Source organism: Homo sapiens, chromosome 5 (assembly GCF_000001405.40).
Source record: "Homo sapiens chromosome 5, GRCh38.p14 Primary Assembly".
Classification (NCBI taxonomy): Eukaryota; Metazoa; Chordata; class Mammalia; order Primates; family Hominidae; genus Homo; species Homo sapiens.
In genome coordinates this window covers 96,684,476-96,703,659 of record NC_000005.10, presented here as the reverse complement: position 1 = coordinate 96,703,659, position 19,184 = coordinate 96,684,476, and the positions used below count along the sequence as shown (strand labels likewise).

Below are 19,184 nucleotides of genomic sequence, written 5' to 3'. Positions count from 1 at the left end.
TCTAAACTCTCTGCCTCATTTTCTGAAGCTGTACAATGGGAATAAAGAACTTCCCCCTGCCTGTGTGTAAGTGGAGAATGCCGGGTCCCTAACCATACAGAAGAGAAAGTTAAATCTCTGTGAAAACACTTTGTATTCTTAAAAGATAGACACAAAGTAACCCTCAGTGATGTTATTCTACAACCGTCTCAGGTTGTGTAAAGGAAATGGAACCGAAACAGGTTACAACACTTGCCACGCCACACCCAGCATGTATCAGGTACGCAGAAAGGTCAGAGTGAGCTCACGCTCTAAAACGGAGGTCATCACAGGGTGGCGGCACGGCTGGGGAGGAGGAGATCTATCTCCAACCCTAGAGATAAAGGTGCCAAACCAAACTGACATAGCTGCTGCTTTCCTTCTTTTGGGCCACTTGTCTCGGGCCACTTGTCTCGGGCCACTTGTACCGGGCCACACAAATCCCTTGTTTTGTAACCCTACGCGTCCGGTCACCAGATACATTTCCCGGCGGAAGGGGCAGTAACAGTGTTACCGACAAGGAGGAGGAGTCGCCAAGAAACACAGTTAAACTCAGAACGCACGGTATCGCCAGGGTCGCGATAGTAGGAAAAGCGCACGTCCCGAGCCTGGGGAGTCCGCTGCAGGGACCAGGCCCCGGACACGCAGGGCAGGTAGCCGGGGGCACAGGCCCTAGACCCGGGAGCACGCGCGGCCTGGAGCAAAGCGGCGGAAGACAGTACTCACTCTGCGTGGACACCGGACCCCGCAGTCCTCGGCTTGGTTTTCAGGAGGTCTGCATTCCTAGCTGGGCTCGGCTCCCGCGGTTTCCGCTTGGAGCTCCAGCCCAGCTCTCTGAGTGCGACGGGGCGGGGCGGTCCCGGGAAGGCGACGCAGGATGCTCCCCGCCCCCCTGCCCGGCGGCCCCGCCCCGGGAGCCCGGGATGCGTGGGGAGGGAGGTCCCGCTCCGTGGACTCGTCATGCGCCTGGCATCTGGAGACTGGCTCACTCAATAACGCAGCCTGTGATGCGGACCACGTGCTGTGTGGGCTGCGCACCGCCGGCTGATTACAGGTTACCGCTCCCTCGGCTGTCACCCTGTGACTACCAGAATAAGGCAACGACGGTGGGTGCACTTCGCAAATATGCTCCCCCGAAGACCTCTTTTGAAACTATAAAGTGGATTAGTAATGACTACAACCAGGGATTTGCAAATGCAGTTAAAACTGTGTAATGGATTTCTTTAAAGAGTAGTTTAACAGTAAGAATTCTACCCGATTACTTTATATTATAGTATATTACAAACTTCAAAATTAGAATAGATTTGAAGCTATTGAATACAATATAAATTCATGAGTCTATACTGCTGTAAATAAATGAATGAATAAATAGAGGGGTTAAGCCACTCTTTCATATAGAAGGCCAACTAATAAATATTGAATGATAAGAGTTAGAGAAAATAATTATAAAAAATTTTAAAATAAATGAAAAGCCGTACACCAACCACATTAAAGGCTCTGAACCCTGAACTTGGGGTGTGAGTGAAGGAGGTAGTGTTGGTCACTGTTTGAGGAACACAGACCTCAGGACAGGTTGGACAGTGCTGTGTCGAGTCATGACAAATGATGGCCAGTGGCATGAAAAAGGTGAACTCATCCATACAGCTTTGTACCCCACCAGGCAGCCAAGGCAGTTAGGGCCCTCTGATGTACCTTTCAAGGTACTCCTCACAGCTACCTTATTTTTTTTGTCTTTTATTTCTGTCAAAAATCTAGTGAAATAAGAGCCCTTCCAACTTTAAGATTCTAACATTTCCAGAGCAGAAGACCCTGTCCTTATAATTTTTTTTTTTTTTTGAGGTGGGATTCTCGCTATGTGGCCCAGGCTGGAGTGCAGTCACGTGATCTCAGCTCACTGCAACCTCCACCTCCCAGGTTCAAGCAATACTCCTGCCTCAGCTTCCCGAGTAGCTGCGATTACAGGCATGCACCACCACACCTAGCTAATTTTTGTATTTTTAGTAGAGACAGGGTTTCACCATGTTGGCCAGGCTGGTCTCGAACTCCTGACCTGAAGTGATCCACCCACCTCAGCCTCCCAAAGTGCTGGGATTACAGGCATGAGCCATGCACCCGGACTTAGAATTCTTCTTGATATATAGCTTATATATCCCTTTTTGTTGTTGTTGTTGATCATTAGTATTGTCATTCCTTTTTAAAAATAGACTAAAAGCTCATCTAGGTTTCACTGACATTAATTTCTCCTGTGACAAAAACAGCACAGGGTGACTAATTTGGGCCACACCCCATAGGGATGGGCCCTGGGCCCCACAGCTTCCAGAGTTAGGCAGCTCAATGATGCCTATCTCTGAATGTATTTCTGTGCTCCTGATGAGTACAGATGAGTAATCACATGGTTATAAAACAAATTTTCTGGCCAGGCATGGTGGCTCATGCCTGTAATCCCACCACTTTGGGAGGCCGAGGCAAGTGGATCACCTGAGCTCAGGAGTTCCAGACCAGCCTGGGCAACATGGTGAAACCCTGTCTCTACTAAAAATACAAACATTAGCTGTGTGCGGTGGTGCTTGCCTGTAATCCCAGCTACTCGGGAGGCTTCAGGCAGGATTATCGCTTGAACCTGGAAGGTGGAGGTTGCAGTGAGCTGAGATCACACCACTGCACTCCTGCCTGGGCAATAGTGAGACCCTGTCTCAAAAAAAAAAAAAAATTTTTTTCGCAAGATTCTTCTGCTGTAAGTCAGGTGGAAAAAGGCTCCTTTCCTTAGAGTGAAGGCAAACAATGTAGTTCCACTGCTGTGCTGTGGCCATCACAATCCCTGAGGGTGTCCTTCCTGCCAGTGTGGTTCTCAAATCATCTGCATCTGAAACTCCTGGGAATGCCTATTAAATATATGAAATCCTGGGCTCTTCCCCCACCCCGGCGAATCAGAATTTCTTGGCTTCAAACCTGAGAATCTGCATTTTAATCAGATTCTCTAGTTGATGTTTAGGTTATGGGTAGCCTAAACTACCCACATTCTGCACTATTCAGTCTCCTGGCTACTCAAAATGTGGTTGCCAAAGCAGCAGCAGCACATCCACTGGAAGCTTGTTAGAAAAGCAGAATCTCAGCCTCATCCTGGACTTCCTAAACCAGAATCTTCATTTTAATAAAACCCACACTGACTCATTATGTACATTAAAAGGTGAGAATTACTGCTCTGGATCTTATTTCTCAAGCCCTGGTTATTATTTGTACATTACTTATATAATATTTTTTAACCTGCCATAGATATATTATGTTTACTTAATTTAAAAGAAGTAGATTTACTTTAACCTTAAATTCAGCCTCACTATAAATGAAAATAGCCATGGGATTAGGAGTTGATGTGCTAGTTTACTTTTTATAGCACATTAAAATATAAGCATAATTATTAAAATAAAAACGCTTTCTTGTCTAACACACAGTCATCTCACAAACCACACGTGGTAGGAGGGTACTGTGGGCTGATGCTGGCACTGAATGTCAGCATACCCTCCACAGTACCTGAAGAGTTAACCCAAACCCTCACTCCTATTACAGATGAGAAAAGTAAGAACCTGGGAAGAGAGCTGTGTTGCCAAAGTCAGCACAGCTATTTATGGCAGACTCAGGACCCAAATCACGAAAGTATTTCTCTGATAGGTGCTTATTCCTTCATAGATCTCCTCCTGTCTAGGCTGGGAGGAAAGTTGTTTGCGCTTTCTTCTGTTTGAAAGGCCTAATGTTGCTGAATAACTTGTCATCTGTAGTTTTCCTATTCAATTAGGTAATTCTCCTGTTTTCCTTTGTCATGGATATCTGTCATTCAGCAGGAGGCCACATATTTGAAAAACCTCACCACATATTGATAATTTCCTGCCTTATCAGTCCATGCCTTCCCAAAGTAGGATCCAGAAGACTCACACCCCCAGATTCCCTTGGAGCAGGGTGAAGGCATGTGATTTACACTGGCCAATCAGATGTGCCAAACAAGAATGAGCTGGGAAGTGAGCAACGTGTGCAGGCTGCTGCCCACCAGGAAATCCATGTTATAATAGGGATTTTGAGTCTTCTGCATTGTCAGTGGCAGAGTTCTGGCACCCAGTCCTACATGTGACAGGAGCTGAGCTGTGGTGGCAGCAGGAGAAAGCCTCATAGTGTTACTGTGCATTAGTACTGCTGTAAGGCTTTAGATTTCTTCTGCTGTACTCTCCTGGATTTCTCTACCAGCTACCCCGTTCCTTAAGAAATTCCTTTTTGGCTTAGTCAGAGTGGGTTCTAATTGGAACTAACAACTTTAACCAGTACATCTTCTTAATAGCATGGTCTTCTACAGAGACATTCCTAATGCAATTTGAACCTCGGTTTCCTCACCTGAACAGTCAGGTTGGTGAAATAGAAGTTGTCTGACAAGTCTTCCAGAAATAAAATTGCATGACTGGTTATGGATCACAACTATTTTCATATAGGCTTTAGTAAGAGTCCGTATAATTTCCGCAGCCTCATCTTCACTACTGATTTACCAAAAATTAAATTTTAAGAACTAAATATTTTACACTAATTATTTTGAATTAGAAAAATTTACATCACTTAAGAGCATTAGATCTTTGAAACCTAAAACTGCATAGCAGAAGGGATATTATTTGAGGGCCCAATTCCTCATTTTGTAAGCATTCTCATAAAACAATTCTACAATATATAGAAACCATTCTCTAATACATAGCTTACACATATGCTTCAAATTAAGTACTTAATTTTTAAAACTTTAAAGTTTTCTTAATAATTGTAAAATTATCACTTATTTTGAATTTCAAATTAACTATTTCCAGAATCAAGAAAACTAGCACTAGTTCTCACTTCCAATTCTATCTACCACTCTGTCACGCCTTTTCAGAATGTGTTGGGAGAATATTATTTTGCCTGTGTGTGCCATGATAACTGTGTAATAAAAGGCTTCAAGTTATGCTATTACCCCCAGCTTTTCTAAATGATGCATGGGTATGTAATTCCTTAAGGGATAATGCTATGAGTTACAACCATTCCAATCTGGCATCAAAAGAAGAAATAAGCAATTACGTTTGTTCAACACCTTATAAAAGTAAAAAATATGAGAACGGAAGGGGTGAAGAATCAAACCCTGGAGAACTCACATTTAGGAAACTGGCAAAGGAAAGTGAGTCAGAAAAGCATGGTGAGAAAGAGAAACAGCAGACATAAGAATGGAAATGGGAGAGGATGGTGTTTTTAAAGCCAAAAAAAGAATTTCATGTTTGCTGTTAAATACTAAAGCAATAAACATATAGCTAAATCATCTCCACTTCCCAGTTATGCCCTGCCCCTCCCAGCTCTTAAGACAGAACAGGGTTTGTGGGGAGATGTTCAAATTCTTTATAACTATCCCATCTCAGAAAAATAGGGTAACTTCTACGTTAAAAAAAAGAAACATGGAAAGGGTCTGATTCTTATGATTACGTTCAAGAAAAAACTGGGTGTGGTTTTCCACAATGTACTAAACCTTCAAAAGTTTAGATAATAGCAAGTGTGGGAACATTTACAAATAACTCACTAAATCTCACTGGGTGGGTGTTTTGCTAATGAGGTGTATCATTTTTAGTGGCATAATTTAAGTGTATGCTAAATACAAGTCCTGATAACAATAAAAGTTAATCTTTTTTAGTTGAAGACTCTCTTTTATTTGGAGACCTGGAAATAACAGAATATGAAGATTAACATGATCAATCACAGGAGAGGTCCATTTTCCCAGCACCTGCTAAATGCCAGGGCCAGGCCTAAGTGTTAGTATTTATTTTCTTTCATTTAAGGCTCTCAACAGCCCTGACAAGAGAAGTCCAACCCTCATTTTACAGATGAAGAAACTGAAGCTCAGTGGGACTGGACAAATAATAGTGGCAAAGAGGAAATCCAAACTCATATTTGTTTGTGTAAGCAACTCTCTCACCCAGTGGCCATCAGTGAATGCTGTGGTGTCTCCAGCAGCAGTAAAGAATGGCTAACAAAGAGCAGACCTCAGTTTTGAATTTATGTTGGTTCCAAATGTTAATTAACTCCCTGTATTTACGATTCATGGTCTTTCAATGATTTTTATATTTTTATTGACTGGTAGCAGAGAGCTTTGAAAAGGTCTTTAAAAGGCACGGGTCTTAAAGTGGCATGGTATTTAGCGTTAGAGCTTCTCAGCTGATTATTGGTTTGGGCACCATCAGGGACTTGGAGAGCAGTCAGAACTCTGAGTGACACGAAAATACTAACTCTTCATTGAGCAAGTGACATCTATGAGAAAGTCTGACTTCCATAAGATAGCCACCAGTTTTAAAGAAAAAAAAAAGCTTACGTTAAATAGTTGTATAGATACTCCTGAAACATAGGTTGAGGTTTTAGATAATCTTGGACATACTAAAAGACCACAAAGTTGAAATGGGTTGAATGTAACAACTTTTTTTTTCTTTTTTTTGAGACAGGGTCTCACTTTGTTACAAGGCTGGAGTGCAGTGGCGCTATCTCGGCTCACTGCAACCTGTGCCTCCCGGGTTCAAGCCATTCTCCTGCCTCAGCCTCCCCAGTAGCTGGGACTACAGGTGCGCACCACCACACACCATGCCCAGCTAATTTTTGTATTTTTAGTAGAGATGGGGTTTCACCATCTTGGCCAGGCTGGTCTTGAACTTCTGACCTCGTGATCTGCCCACCGTGGACTCCCAAAACAATTTTATTTATCAAAAATTACTAGCTAACATTATAAAATTAGACTTTCTTTTTATTTTTGAGACAGAGTCTTGTTCTATTGCCCAGGCTGGAGTGCAGTGGCACTGTCACAGCTCACTGCAGCCTCGACCTCCCAGACTTAAGTGATCCTCCAACCTCAGCCATCTGAGTAGCTGGGACTATAGGCACGCATCACCAAGCCTGGCTAATTTTTAATTTTTTTTTTTTTAGGAGAGAAAGGGTCTTACTATGTTGCTCAAGCTGGTCATGAACTCCTGGGCTCAAGTGATCCTCCTGGTGATCCTCCTGCCTCAGCCTCCCAAAGTGCTGCGATTACAGGCATGAGCCACTGTGCCTGGCCATTTTCTTGCCTCGAAAGGTGAGGTTTCAGTGATTTTTATAAGTTGCAAAACTTTGAAGGGTTATATTACCAAAAATTGCTTAGATGGAGTTTATAAGACCCAGCATTGTCAAAGACCTCTTAACAGGAAACCTGGGTTCAAGCCCTATCTCCATCTTACTGGCGTTGTGAGCTTGTCAAGGTTACTTAACCTCCTTGAGCTCTGGTTTCCTCAGGTATAAAGGAATAAGAAGAAGATTGTGAGGGGATTACGTGATATAATTACATAAAGCACTAGCAGCACGCCTGGTGTGGTTAATGCCCATGAGGAGGATATGAATTATTTTCTAAAGTGGGAGCACTACGTTTTTACTCACAGTATGTTCAAAAGTTTAATATTATCTGCAGATAGTCATCATAATAATTAATATTTATTTAACGCTTATTATATGCCAAGAAGATTTATACAATAAATGGTTTTACTAGGTTTTAAATCATTCACATCATTATTAAGAAATTATATTCTCTCTTCTAGCACAGAAATGATACTTTGTTAAAAAACCTTCAGTGATATCTGGACACTGTTTGCCATTCCTACAGGCCCCACCCACTAATCATATCCCTGTAGAATACAGTAGGGGTCTTTTCGTGTTCAGGAAATCACTGACCTTGGTGGCCGAGGCTGTTCCACCAGCATAGGTTCTGGAGGATTGACTGCTGCCGAGGCTTGCTGCTTTTTTCTTGAAAATAGAAAATATTAGTTTCAATGGGGGAAAACACCTTACCAATGTAGTCAAATGCAAACTTACATATCAATACAAATATTTTCTCAAGCAAAAATCAGACTAATATTTGAAACACACCCAAAGTAAACATATGCTTTGAATTTTTCGTTACTTTGCCTGAAGATGATACAAATATTGAAATGAAGAGTAAGTTGAATAAGTCTCAATTGTTCAATATTCAGTGATTTTGGAGAACTGCAAAACTCACTGAGGCAGTTCTCATGTACTTCCAAAAACTTCACTCACCCTTACAGTGCCATAGAGAGTATACAATGTTACAATGTCTATGCAGGGTGATTTAGAAATATGTATCAAAGATGCTATTCTACTTGTAAAAATGTATCTTAGGGAAATAAGAGAAGAGAAAAAGTATTTTTCTACAAAGATACTGATCACAGTACTATAACCTAAAAAAGCTGAAAACAGTATCTATAATAATGAATGTTTATTAAGTACTATGGTGTGCCAGGTAATTATTAGAATAATAGAATTATAGATAGTAATAGGATAAAATGCTTCAAGAATAAAGCCTCTCAGAACGTTATTCTAAGTACTCTAAGTGTTTTAAATACCATGAGTAACAAGATAAACCAATATAAACCTAATACTATTGTTATCTCCACTTTATGGGTGAGGGGACTGAGGAACAGAAGGAATAAATTACTTGGCCATGGTGACAGTTAGTAAAAGGCAGGATATCTGCTCCAGACTCCAATCTCTTACCTACCTATACTGCATCCCATAATAGGGGGTTACGTTATGGGAGAGCCATAGGATGAAATATCATCTGGTTATTAAAAATCATGTCCTAGAAAAACACTTCATTAAATAAAAACATATTATTCATATTTTATACGAAGAAAAGTTAAATTATAAAATAGTATGTTTAGTATGATCCTTTAAGGTCATATGAGGTTATTTTCTGATGGTGTGAAGAGTAATTTTTAAAAAATCCTTCTTGGGCTTTTTTGTGTTTTCTTATGTAACTATTTTAATTGAGAAAAAGAAAATAAATGGGGGAAAAAGGAAAAGTAAAATACACAGTTGCTTCCTCAACAAGACCTTCATATCCTGTATCTCTTTCTCTTTCTTATGAATATCTATATTTCAAAGAAGCAAGCACATAAAGTTTTTTTGTTTGTTTGTTTGTTTGTTTTTTTGAGATGGAGTCTCGCTCTGTCACCCAGGCTGGAGTGCAGTGGTGCGATCTCGGCTCACTGCAACCTCCGCCTCCTGGGTTCAAGCAATTCTCCTGCCTCAGCCTCCTGAGTACCTGGGATTACAGGCACATGCCACCACGCCCAGCTAATTTTTTGTATATTTAGTAGGGTTTCAGCGTGTTAGCCAGAATGGTCTCGATCTCCTGACCTCGTGATCTGCCTGCCTCAGCCTCCCAAAGTGCTGGGATTACAGGCGTGAGCCACCGTGCCTGGCCAAGTATAAAGCTTTATAATGTAAAATGGTGATATGCTCCAAGGTCAATAAAGTGTGAATAATGTACTGTAAATATTGAATACACAAGGCAAGATAATGCATAAATTAGCTAGCATATAACACATTAAAGTGTTCTATGTCTATGCAACAAATATTTTATATGTATAATTGAGAATAATTTGGTTTCATTCTTTAATATTTAGAAGAAATATTTAGCCAAATTTATATTTTCTAATTTATTGAAAATGCATGCCATGGAAGTTTGAACTGAAGTCTTCTTTCCCTTCAGGGTAAATTTTGCCTTAGCATGCCCCAAAATCAAAACTTAGTTTGCTGTCCTCAAAGCACAATCTCTATGTGTCCACTCGCCAACCACTCTAGGGGGCCTCACAGGCATTTGCAGGAGTTCAGGCTCCCAGGCATCATCTGTAGAATAAATAGTCTCTCCCAAGCATACACTTACTACCATCAACCAAGGAAAGAAAAAAACCTAGATAAATGTGATAAAAACAAAAGAGGCTGCTAAGAAGCTAGTGATGCAGGTGTGATATGTGAGATGGTAAAAGGAGGGGATAACCCACATTTTATCCAGATTGCTAGTCTTTTTTAAATTATCACAAATAATAACAAATAGCTTCTGACAACCTTAATGTACAAATGGATTCTGTGTAAAAGACTGGACGTAAGACATAAAGACAAGAATACAGCAGTAGCATTATCCATTTCAACTTCATTACCTATCTCAACCTCTCATTTTCCAGCGAGGAAACTGAAGGAGGTTAGGTCTGTTTTCAATGTGACACAGCTGTCCCAAACTCCAGCTATTAGCTTTTGATCTTAGCTACAATTGAGGAAGGCCATGTTCCAATCCTGGGCTAATTACAGATTCCATTCGCTACATCAAAGCCCACATACTTAAAGTCTATAAATGGATTCCACTACTTACAATATGCCAATTAGGATCTGCCAATGAGAATTTAAAAATTTGTATTTTGGCTGTGATGAAACTATTAAGTTAAAAATAATGACTGTTTAAACTTAATTTATATGCTGAAAATGACTTACTAATAAACGAAATGTTTTTTAACTTAACGGAGGCTCCCTCAACTTTCTTGTGGGTATGATCTGTTCCCCTAAAGACTGGCTTGCTCTCAGAGCTGCCTGGATTACTTAGTCCACAAAGGACCAATGTAGTTCAGCTGAAGTGAGACTGGAATATGTAAAATCATCTTTCATTAAATTTTTATCTAACAAGTATTTATTAAGCCCTTTGTTGACATCTGGCACTGAAAATACAATGCAAAAGCCTTGAAATGCACCCATATACAGAGCAGACTCCTTACTTTCAGATTGGTAATCAGAGTTTAATTACATGTTGTTTTGGCCCCCTTTCTTCATTTGTGTCTGACTTCACATATTCATTTGTTCATTCATTCATTGGGAAAACTATGAGCCTGGTCCTATTCTAGGCAATGGGGATATAATGACCAATTAAACAGAAAAAGCTCCTGCCCTCGTGGCACTTACATTCCAGTAGAAAGACTCAGCCTTTAAGTAAGTCAACAAAAAAACAAGATGACTTCAGAGAATGGTGAGTCCTGAACAGACTGTGAGATGGGATGAGGTAACAGAGAGTGATTGGCTCAGGGTTGCTTCAGACAGGATGGATGAGGAAGTGACATTTGACTAACACCTGACTGCTGTGTGGAAACCAATCGTGTATATATGGGATGAGGGAAAGGAGGCATTCTAGGTAGACAGGGCAGCACGTGCAAGGGCCCTGAGGTAAGAATGGGCTTGGTAAGCAGGAGGAGCAGAAAGAAGCCAGTGCAGCCAAAGCATGCTGGGTACAGGCATGTATGGTATGAGATGAAACAAAATGCAGGATCAAATATTTATTCTGAAGTGATGTGGGATCAGAATAGCCCTATAGTCACATGAGTTTGGGATCATCAGTTTCTTCCAGGATCTGGTTTGCTTCCTAGTCTTCTCAGGTTACTACCTGACCCCCTGAGTCCTCCCTTGCCTCCAGGTGCAAGGTTTTCAACGTCCTCTGGCTTCATGTCACCTTGTGCTTAGTTTTGTTGGTATCTCTTCACACTTATACTCCTTAACATCAGCATCAGTCCTTAGAAATTCTACCCTGCCCTGAACAGATCTCTTAGCTCACTAGATCTGCATACTCACTAACTAGTGATAGGGCTGGATCCACCCTGAGGAAAGAATTCATCTACTCACAGTAAGTAGAAACTCTCAAAACAAGCTCATTTTTATATGATATTGCACCATCTGTTGCAAGAAGGCATGAAAAGAATTAGTTGCATACTTTTTTGTATATCTATTGTAGTTCAGAGAAAAAATTTTTTACTGAGTCAATCAGAACTCGAGTCTTTAAAATTTTCAAAATAACAATGAAGTTCCAAGAGCCAGGCAAAGAGTTGCTGTGTCACTGTCACTTAAAATCTTAGAAAAGGCTCCCTGAGTGAAGCCACATGTTTTACCCTGAGACTTCATGACTCTGTGAAGAAAGGCACCACATTCTCTAGGATAATGGTTCTATCTTATGATTTATATAGCAAGAGTCCTGTTCCACCAAATGCCAGCTATGAGATCTTAGGCAAGTTTCTGAACATTTCTCAACACCAGTTTTCTGAGCAGGGTGAATAACTCTGCTCATACCTCGGAAGGTGATTTTGAGGGTTAAATGAGTTACAACATATCCTGAGGACTGTGACCCACAGGTTGAAAATCCTGGCTCTAAAGGGAGAGGCCCAAAGTCCTTGCCCAGGTAGCAATGGAACAGACTGACCTCTGCAGGGCAACCCCAGTGGGTCTGGTTGGTACACATGAGAAGACTTAGTGGCTGCTGAAAATTTTCTATGAGTTTTATTATGTATACAATTATAAAAAATAATAACCTTTTATGGGATAGAAAAATGTAATTTTTTCCTTAGAACTAGCTCATGATTCTAATAATGGGATACTGTTAAGTTACTTGGAAACAGTTTGATTTTTTTGAGATTTGCTTTCAAGCTTTGTTAGGTTGGACCAGATCAGCTTTTAGAGTATGCGATATTGTGATATAATAAGAAATCTATGTAGTCATGTGCTGAATAAGGGCGTTTCACTCAACAACAGACTGCATTTTCTGTATATGGAACAGTGGTCCCATAAGATTATAATGGAGCATATACAGAAACTTGATGTATGGCACATGATATTGGCATTGCAGATCAAGTAGGGGAAATGACTAATATTTGGTCATGATGCTGAGACATTTAGTTTTCTATATGAAAAACTATATATAAATAAAGCTGTATCTACCATCTAGGTTTGTGTAAGTACACTCTGGCATTTCCACAATGATAAAATTGCATAACAACACATTTCTTAGACTTCTTGAAATGTATTTTTCAAGATAAAAACTCTCATTAAAATATGTAAGTTTTGACATATTTGTTAAGAATCTACTCCATAACTTAGTAGTTGTCCTATAAAATGGCAAGAAGTCTTGTGTTTCTACATGAAAATACATGCTTTATTTGAAAACAGTGTCAAGAAAAAGATTGTCTTTCAAAAGTGTAGACAGATTCTCCAACACTAGCAATTATAAAACTCTGACTCTTATTTACAAATGTTCTTTTAACACCATAGTTTAAGTGGTGACCAAATAAGTACAAATTGCTTTTATTACCAAAAGAAGTATAAATGTGTGCTACTGCAAGTGCAAAGCAGTAAATACAATATGCTGGCTCTAAAAAACACTAAGTCATAATGAATAAGCCTTACCATTAACTCATAATATTACATAGAAATTCACATACTGAGGCCAGGTGCAGTGGTTTATGCCTGTAATCCTAGCACTTTGGCAGGCAGAGGCAGGCGGATCACCTGAGGTCAGGAGTTCGAGACCAGCCTGGCCAACATAGTGAAACCCCATCTCTACTAAAAATAAAAATTAGCTGGGTGTAATGGCGCATGTCTGTAACCCCAGCTACTTGGGAGGCTGAGGTAGGAGAATCGCCTGAACCTGGGAGATGGAGGTTGCAGTGAGCCAAGATCACACCATTGCATTCCAGCCTGGGCAACAGAGCAAGACCCCATCTCAAAAAAAAATAGATAAATAAATAAATTCACATACTGAATGAAATGTCCCATGTTCTAGGCCCTTAATAACACCCACTATGGTGAGCACACTCCAGTGAGTTGCTTGTTGTTGTTGTTCTTTTTTCTGATTACTCAGTTTCCGTGTGTCATCTCAAGTGGAACCCCTCAAGGTAGTCCAGCTCAAGTCTTTTTAGTCCTGAGGTTGCTGCACTGACCAGGAGTCAGGACAATGCTACTATTCTAGGGCTCTGCCTCTGCTTCCCTCAGAGCCTCATCTCCTACCTACAAAGGGAAAATAGCTATACCTACATCATGGGAATTGGAATGACTGAACTTGCTATATAATCTTGAATGAAAAGAGGGCATCACACAAGGAAGAAAGAGGGAAATGAAGAAGTAGAAAAGTGAATAACAAAAAAATGACAATAGAAGTAAGAAAGTCTATGGAGTTGGCCTCCATCTATAAGGTAGACTTCATAATATAAGTAATTTTATGATGAGTATCGGATACTAGTTAAAAGCACAGACTCTGGAAAGTGATTTCAATTCTGGGTTCTATTATTAAATAACTGTGTGGCCTTAGATGGGTTATTTAATCAAGCTGTGCCTCAATTTCCTTATCAGGAGAATGGGGTTGCCATAAGGCGCATGTGTGTGCTCATGTGTGCACACATGTATTTGCATGTGTATATAATGCCTATTTATGTGTTAGCTATTTTCATCAAATGATCTCTGGTGCTCTACTACCTTTACAGAATCTACAGAAAAAAAATGCTTACGGTATTCTCTTCCTTTCCTGCCAAACTAGTTCTCACAAGGGCATTAATAGTGAATATATTACCTAGAAATACCTACAGTTTAAAAGAAGATGCAGAAAAAGGCAATGAAAGATTAAGGAAATTGTTAATGGTAGAATTTCAGACATCAGCAAGCCACCTAGGAAAATACTATAACATAGTGCCTCCTAAATATATCTACTTGATAAGATTGTCCCTACAAGGGTGGGGATAGTGTGTGCATATAAACCTCTTTAAATTGTATGTAACATTTTGGAGAGTATTTTTTGTATTCGTACATGTGTGTAGCTTTCAGAGAAAAGATCACAGTTTCATCAGATTCCAAAGAGAATATGAACTAAAAATATTTCAGTATTCTTGCCCTCCAAGTTGTCTTTGTTCTTATTTTCTGTCTGTATTTAAGAGGTGCTTTTCTACTCAAACACGTGTGTGTGCCCCCACCCCTACACACAAGCACACAAAACATACACTCATATACACACACACAGCAGCAGCAGCCTTGCTCTGAAAGTATCTCTTAGGGGCCCCAAAGTAAAAAATCTCAAATACACAGCACTTCTCTCTTTAAGGTCTAAGCAGATACATGCATGGGTACTTTTCTGGTCATTGGTAAAACACTCTTATCTTACTCTTTTATTATCTATGCTGCTTATTGTTCTTTTTCTTCTGGTTTAATAAATACACTTAAGATTAAAAAAAGTAGGAAGAAGAAATAATAATTACTTAAAATCCTGTCATCCAAGACAACTAATTTCAGTTTTTTCCTATTTTTATACAAATACAAAAATATGCACATGATAACATATTATAAGTATGTTATATGAATAGAATTGTAATCTTACATTTAGAAAGATTTTTACCTAATATAAGCATTTTTGCCTGTCATTAAATGTTTTTCAAAACACAGTATTAAAAATGCCTTCGTCAGTATATCAGCGCTATGATTTTACTTAACTTCCATACAGGTGTTTCCTTCTTAGTTTGTTGTTATTATAAATAAAGCTATGATAAATATCGTTGGATATAAGTAAGTCATCATGTACACCTCTGATTATATACTTGGAATACATTCTTAGAATTGGGATTTCTGGGTCAAAAAGGCTTTTCTTATTTATGACGCAGTCACTTGTTCCACATTTCTAATTTGTTTTAATTAAAGGAAAAGTTTAATCATATTTCTAACATTTTCAAAATTGTTGGTGAGTTTTTATTATTCAAAGAAAATTTATATATAAAGTCAAGACCAAACATTTTCTCAAAACACACACACATCCTAACATGTACTCATTCAGAAAGAAAAAATCAACAATGTGTGATCACTGCTGAGCCAAGAAATATATTTTTCCATAATTTTTTAACACTGTACCACAGCAAGGAATTACCTACTTTTAACCACTGGGTGTCCCCTGAACTATATGGTTAACATGCAGGCAGATAGCACCATATCACGTTTAACAAATGTCTAACCTTTCTTATTGGCGCTGGTAGTAAGAACCCTCATTATCTTTTAAATTCGCCAGTCATTCAGCTTTCAATTTCACTAGTGAAATAAGTATATTGTATCAGATTTTACTGAGTCTACTTGCTGTATTAAGAAAGTACACAGGAAAAAAAGTGACAAAATTATATTCAGAGAAGCAATTTTTATCTTAAGTACTAAGTGAAACCAAAAATGGGATGTTATTATAAGATTGTTTTAGCTCTCAGTTTCCTATAAATAGTTTTCTTCAAAATTGTAGATTTCAGATTTTAGAATGATATATTTCTAGAATGGTACTAAAGTCCAAAAATTCTGGTCCTTAAGCTTGAATTAGATCATTTAGGAATGAGAGGCTTGATGTGCAAAAGAGAGAGCCCAAAAATACCAACTTTAATGTGAATAACAAACTAGGAGGTCTAGAATCGTAATGATTAAGACAAACAAATTTTTAGAATTCACTTGTTAGTTCTTTCCAAACAACATCTTTCTTATTTGATGTTTCTTAATTAATAAATGAATTCATTTATCAATAAACAACTGGCAGAGAACAGTACCAAACAATCCAAGACATCTATAACATGTGAAGTGTCTCAGTCACACTGACAAAGATTCTCTCCTTGACTAAATTCTAATCAGGCTCCTCTGAGCTCTTTTTCAATTAGGCCTCATTGTTGGACTTCCACGTTCATCTCTGCACTACCCACTCATAGCAAGAATACTGACAGGCTACTTTAGTCAGAATCCTCCATTCTTGCTATCCGATCAAGTCCCCTCATCCTCCACCATCCGCCAGGTGAGATCTGATCACCCGCTGGCCTTAAGCAAGAATCCTATAGGTCACTTTTCCCAGAATCCGCCTTATCCCTGATGTTTCCTTTTAATTTTCCATCCAACGATCCCTGGCCCTGCTCCTAGCTAAAAATCCCCACTTTTCTTCATTATATTTGGAGCTAAATACTACCAAGGCCTTGAATAACTATAATAGAATGCAATATTTGAGAATGATGTACATGGAATTAGATTGTTAAAATTAAGGTTGGCTATGGAGTCAACTCTTGGAAAAACCAGCCACCCCTATAATTTCTCCCCTCTTACTGCAAAATTCCCTTGCAGTGGTCCCTACACCTATAGCAATGGTCTGGAATGAAGTCTGCCTTACTATTGTTTAACAAGTAACATGAATATTTTTTTCCTTACAGAACTTATCTCTTTTTGTGTAAGTAAACACTGACTTCATTTTTCATTGCTTTATCTGCTGTTCTTTACATAAATCTACATACATTGGAAGAAGAATCTACCATGCAGAATCTCCACATACTCAGCACCCTCTCAATCATAATCACAGTACAATGGAAACCTTCTATTACTCCACAAAAACAGCTTGGAAGAGAACTGATACTATCCCAGTCTCCAATCAGGACCTTGCCTCAGCCCCCATCCCTCTGGAAATATCAGCATTTCAGCCCTACTGACCCTCCACTTCTTCCTGCACCCCCCACACTGATGACAGGGAGCACCCAGCTTCCTCTACCTCTTTGCTTGCTGCTTCTTTGACTTGAGTTATCCTTCCCACTTTCTACATGTAGGCATTTATCAACACTTGATTTTAGTTTCTCTCTCTTCTCTCTCTACACTCTTTTCTTCAATAATTTTAACCAGGAATTTTGGTAGTGAGGGTTAGAGGCAGAGATGGAATTGGAGCTTGAGCAGTTTCAAAGGAATTGCTTTAAAACAGTTTATGATGAAGATTGAGCTAATATGTAGTCTAAAGAGGAGTCATGAAATAAAGAGTGAAAAAAAAAAGGAATAATCAAAAGATCTAAAGGACAAGGTCCTGGGAGAAGTGGGAAGAAATAGTATCAGTAACTGATCCCTCCAACCAAAGCCTCCCACAAGGTCCACTGACTCTGAAACTGCAGCTCTCTTAGTGTGCTCTACTGTATTCCCACAATATGGCAGAGTGAGTTGGTCAGGGGGGAAAAGGAGAGGTCATTTGAAAAAGAAAAAAAAATGAAAGAAAAAAGAAATAAAGAAATCAATGTTTATGTGTGCTACGCACCATGCTATGCACTCCACAAGAATTATTTCAGTGTTACTCAAAATGTGCTCAAAAGACCACTGGCATAAGAGAAGAATCACCTGGAGTGATTGGCAAAAATACTGATTCCTTGGGCCCACCTTAGATCTAAATCAGTCTCTGGAGATGGAGCCTAGGAGTCTGAATTTCTCATACCATCCCCAGGTGATTCTTAGGCACAAAAAGAGTTGATAATCACTGCATTATCTCATGCCATATCCTGAAAAATGAGAAACAGAGAGTTTTAAATTTGTTTTGGTACTAATACAATGCTCTACACATTTACTAAGCATTCTGTAATAATGATACTTGAAAATAAAAGACTATGATGTAAATTTGCCATGAGATTTTGCTCTCACAAATGAACTATTTTTATAATGTACAAGCCATTATGTATTTTGTTATGTGGAAAAATAATATTGACATTACGATAAGAATCATACATATTCAGTCCTTAGATAAGACAGATATCTTGCTATGGGTATGATTTCAGGTTATTGTCCCTTTTGAACCAGTCATCCCATTATTTTTGAGAAGCTAAGAAAGTCTGAAGAATAAAAAAAGTTAACTTTAAACATGTTATTTCTGGAATAATATTTAATCCATCTGTCCATGAGGTTTCTAGTGCTTATGATCTGTGCTGAAGTGAACTGAACATCCATTCAATTCCGTCAATATTTTGTTAGTATTTTACTCTGATTCCACAAGCAATAAAATATAATCTCTTCAGAGACAATTTGGTGGGACCTAAGATCTTAGGTAATTCAGCTCATAAATCTAAAATAAGATAATGAAGGGTATATTATTATTGTATGATATAATGTTGATATATTTATATATATATATTTATATATTCTCTCATAGAGGCAAAGTGTTCAGTTGTTTTTTTAATACCATTCCCTATCCAATGATACAACATTTTGTATATCACAGATTCTTAATTTAAAGGCACATTATTTTCATATTCTTTTTAAAAAGTACATCCTTAGCTTCTGATAAAACAGCTCATTGAATAGTGATGCATACGGTCTGGCATGGTGGCTCATGTCTGTAATCCCAGCACTTTGGGAGTCCAAGGTGGGCAGATCACCTGAGGTCAGGAGTTCGAGACTAGCCTGGGCAACATGGCGAAACCCTGTCTCTACTAAAAATATTTTTTAAAAAAGTTATTTGGGCGTGGTGGCATACACCTGTAGTCCCAGCTACTTGGGAGGCTAAGGCAGGAGAATCGCTTGAACCCAGGAGGCAGAGTTTGCAGTGAGCCAAGATTGCACCACTGCACTCCAGCCTGGGCAACAAAGTGAGACTCTATCTCAAAAAAAAAAAAAAAGATAGTGATGCAGAGGTCTTTAGTTCTAGCTATTGGCGTATGTTTCTGCATGTTGCATGTAGTTGGTTTTACAACAAAAGTGCTACTAAA

General features: G+C 39.1%; 1 protein-coding gene across 33 annotated transcripts in view, besides 2 other annotated features; it reads right to left on the bottom strand.

Annotated features, from left to right (window-relative positions):
- The window catches only part of CAST (calpastatin), an 813,255-nt gene that overhangs the window by 71,024 nt on the left and 723,047 nt on the right, over nt 1-19,184 (bottom strand). For 19 of the 33 annotated variants that reach the window (NM_001423254.1, NM_001423259.1, NM_001423255.1 and 16 more), the window contains one exon: nt 7,753-7,824. The exons of 2 other annotated variants lie outside the window; for them this stretch is intronic. Coding sequence is in view for 9 of the 31 variants with exons in the window: in NM_001750.7 (NP_001741.4) it covers nt 7,753-7,824 (72 nt within the window). In the remaining 22 variants the exon portion in view is untranslated. Of the gene's footprint in view, nt 1-744; nt 855-7,752; nt 7,825-19,184 lie in introns of those variants that run through there. 12 more of the 33 variants (NM_001042443.3, NM_001330631.2, NM_001330633.2 and 9 more) reach the window with 1 other exon arrangement.
- Nucleotides 116-615: an enhancer, noted in NCBI's record as "H3K27ac hESC enhancer chr5:96038749-96039248 (GRCh37/hg19 assembly coordinates)". NCBI's record gives its function as "activates a minimal SCP1, AML or CMV promoter by ChIP-STARR-seq in primed H9 embryonic stem cells {active_cell/tissue: H9 hESC(primed)}" and the evidence as "EXISTENCE:reporter gene assay evidence [ECO:0000049][PMID:30033119]".
- Nucleotides 855-984: a silencer, noted in NCBI's record as "silent region_16194". NCBI's record gives its function as "represses an Ori minimal core promoter by ATAC-STARR-seq in GM12878 lymphoblastoid cells {active_cell/tissue: GM12878}" and the evidence as "EXISTENCE:reporter gene assay evidence [ECO:0000049][PMID:35858748]".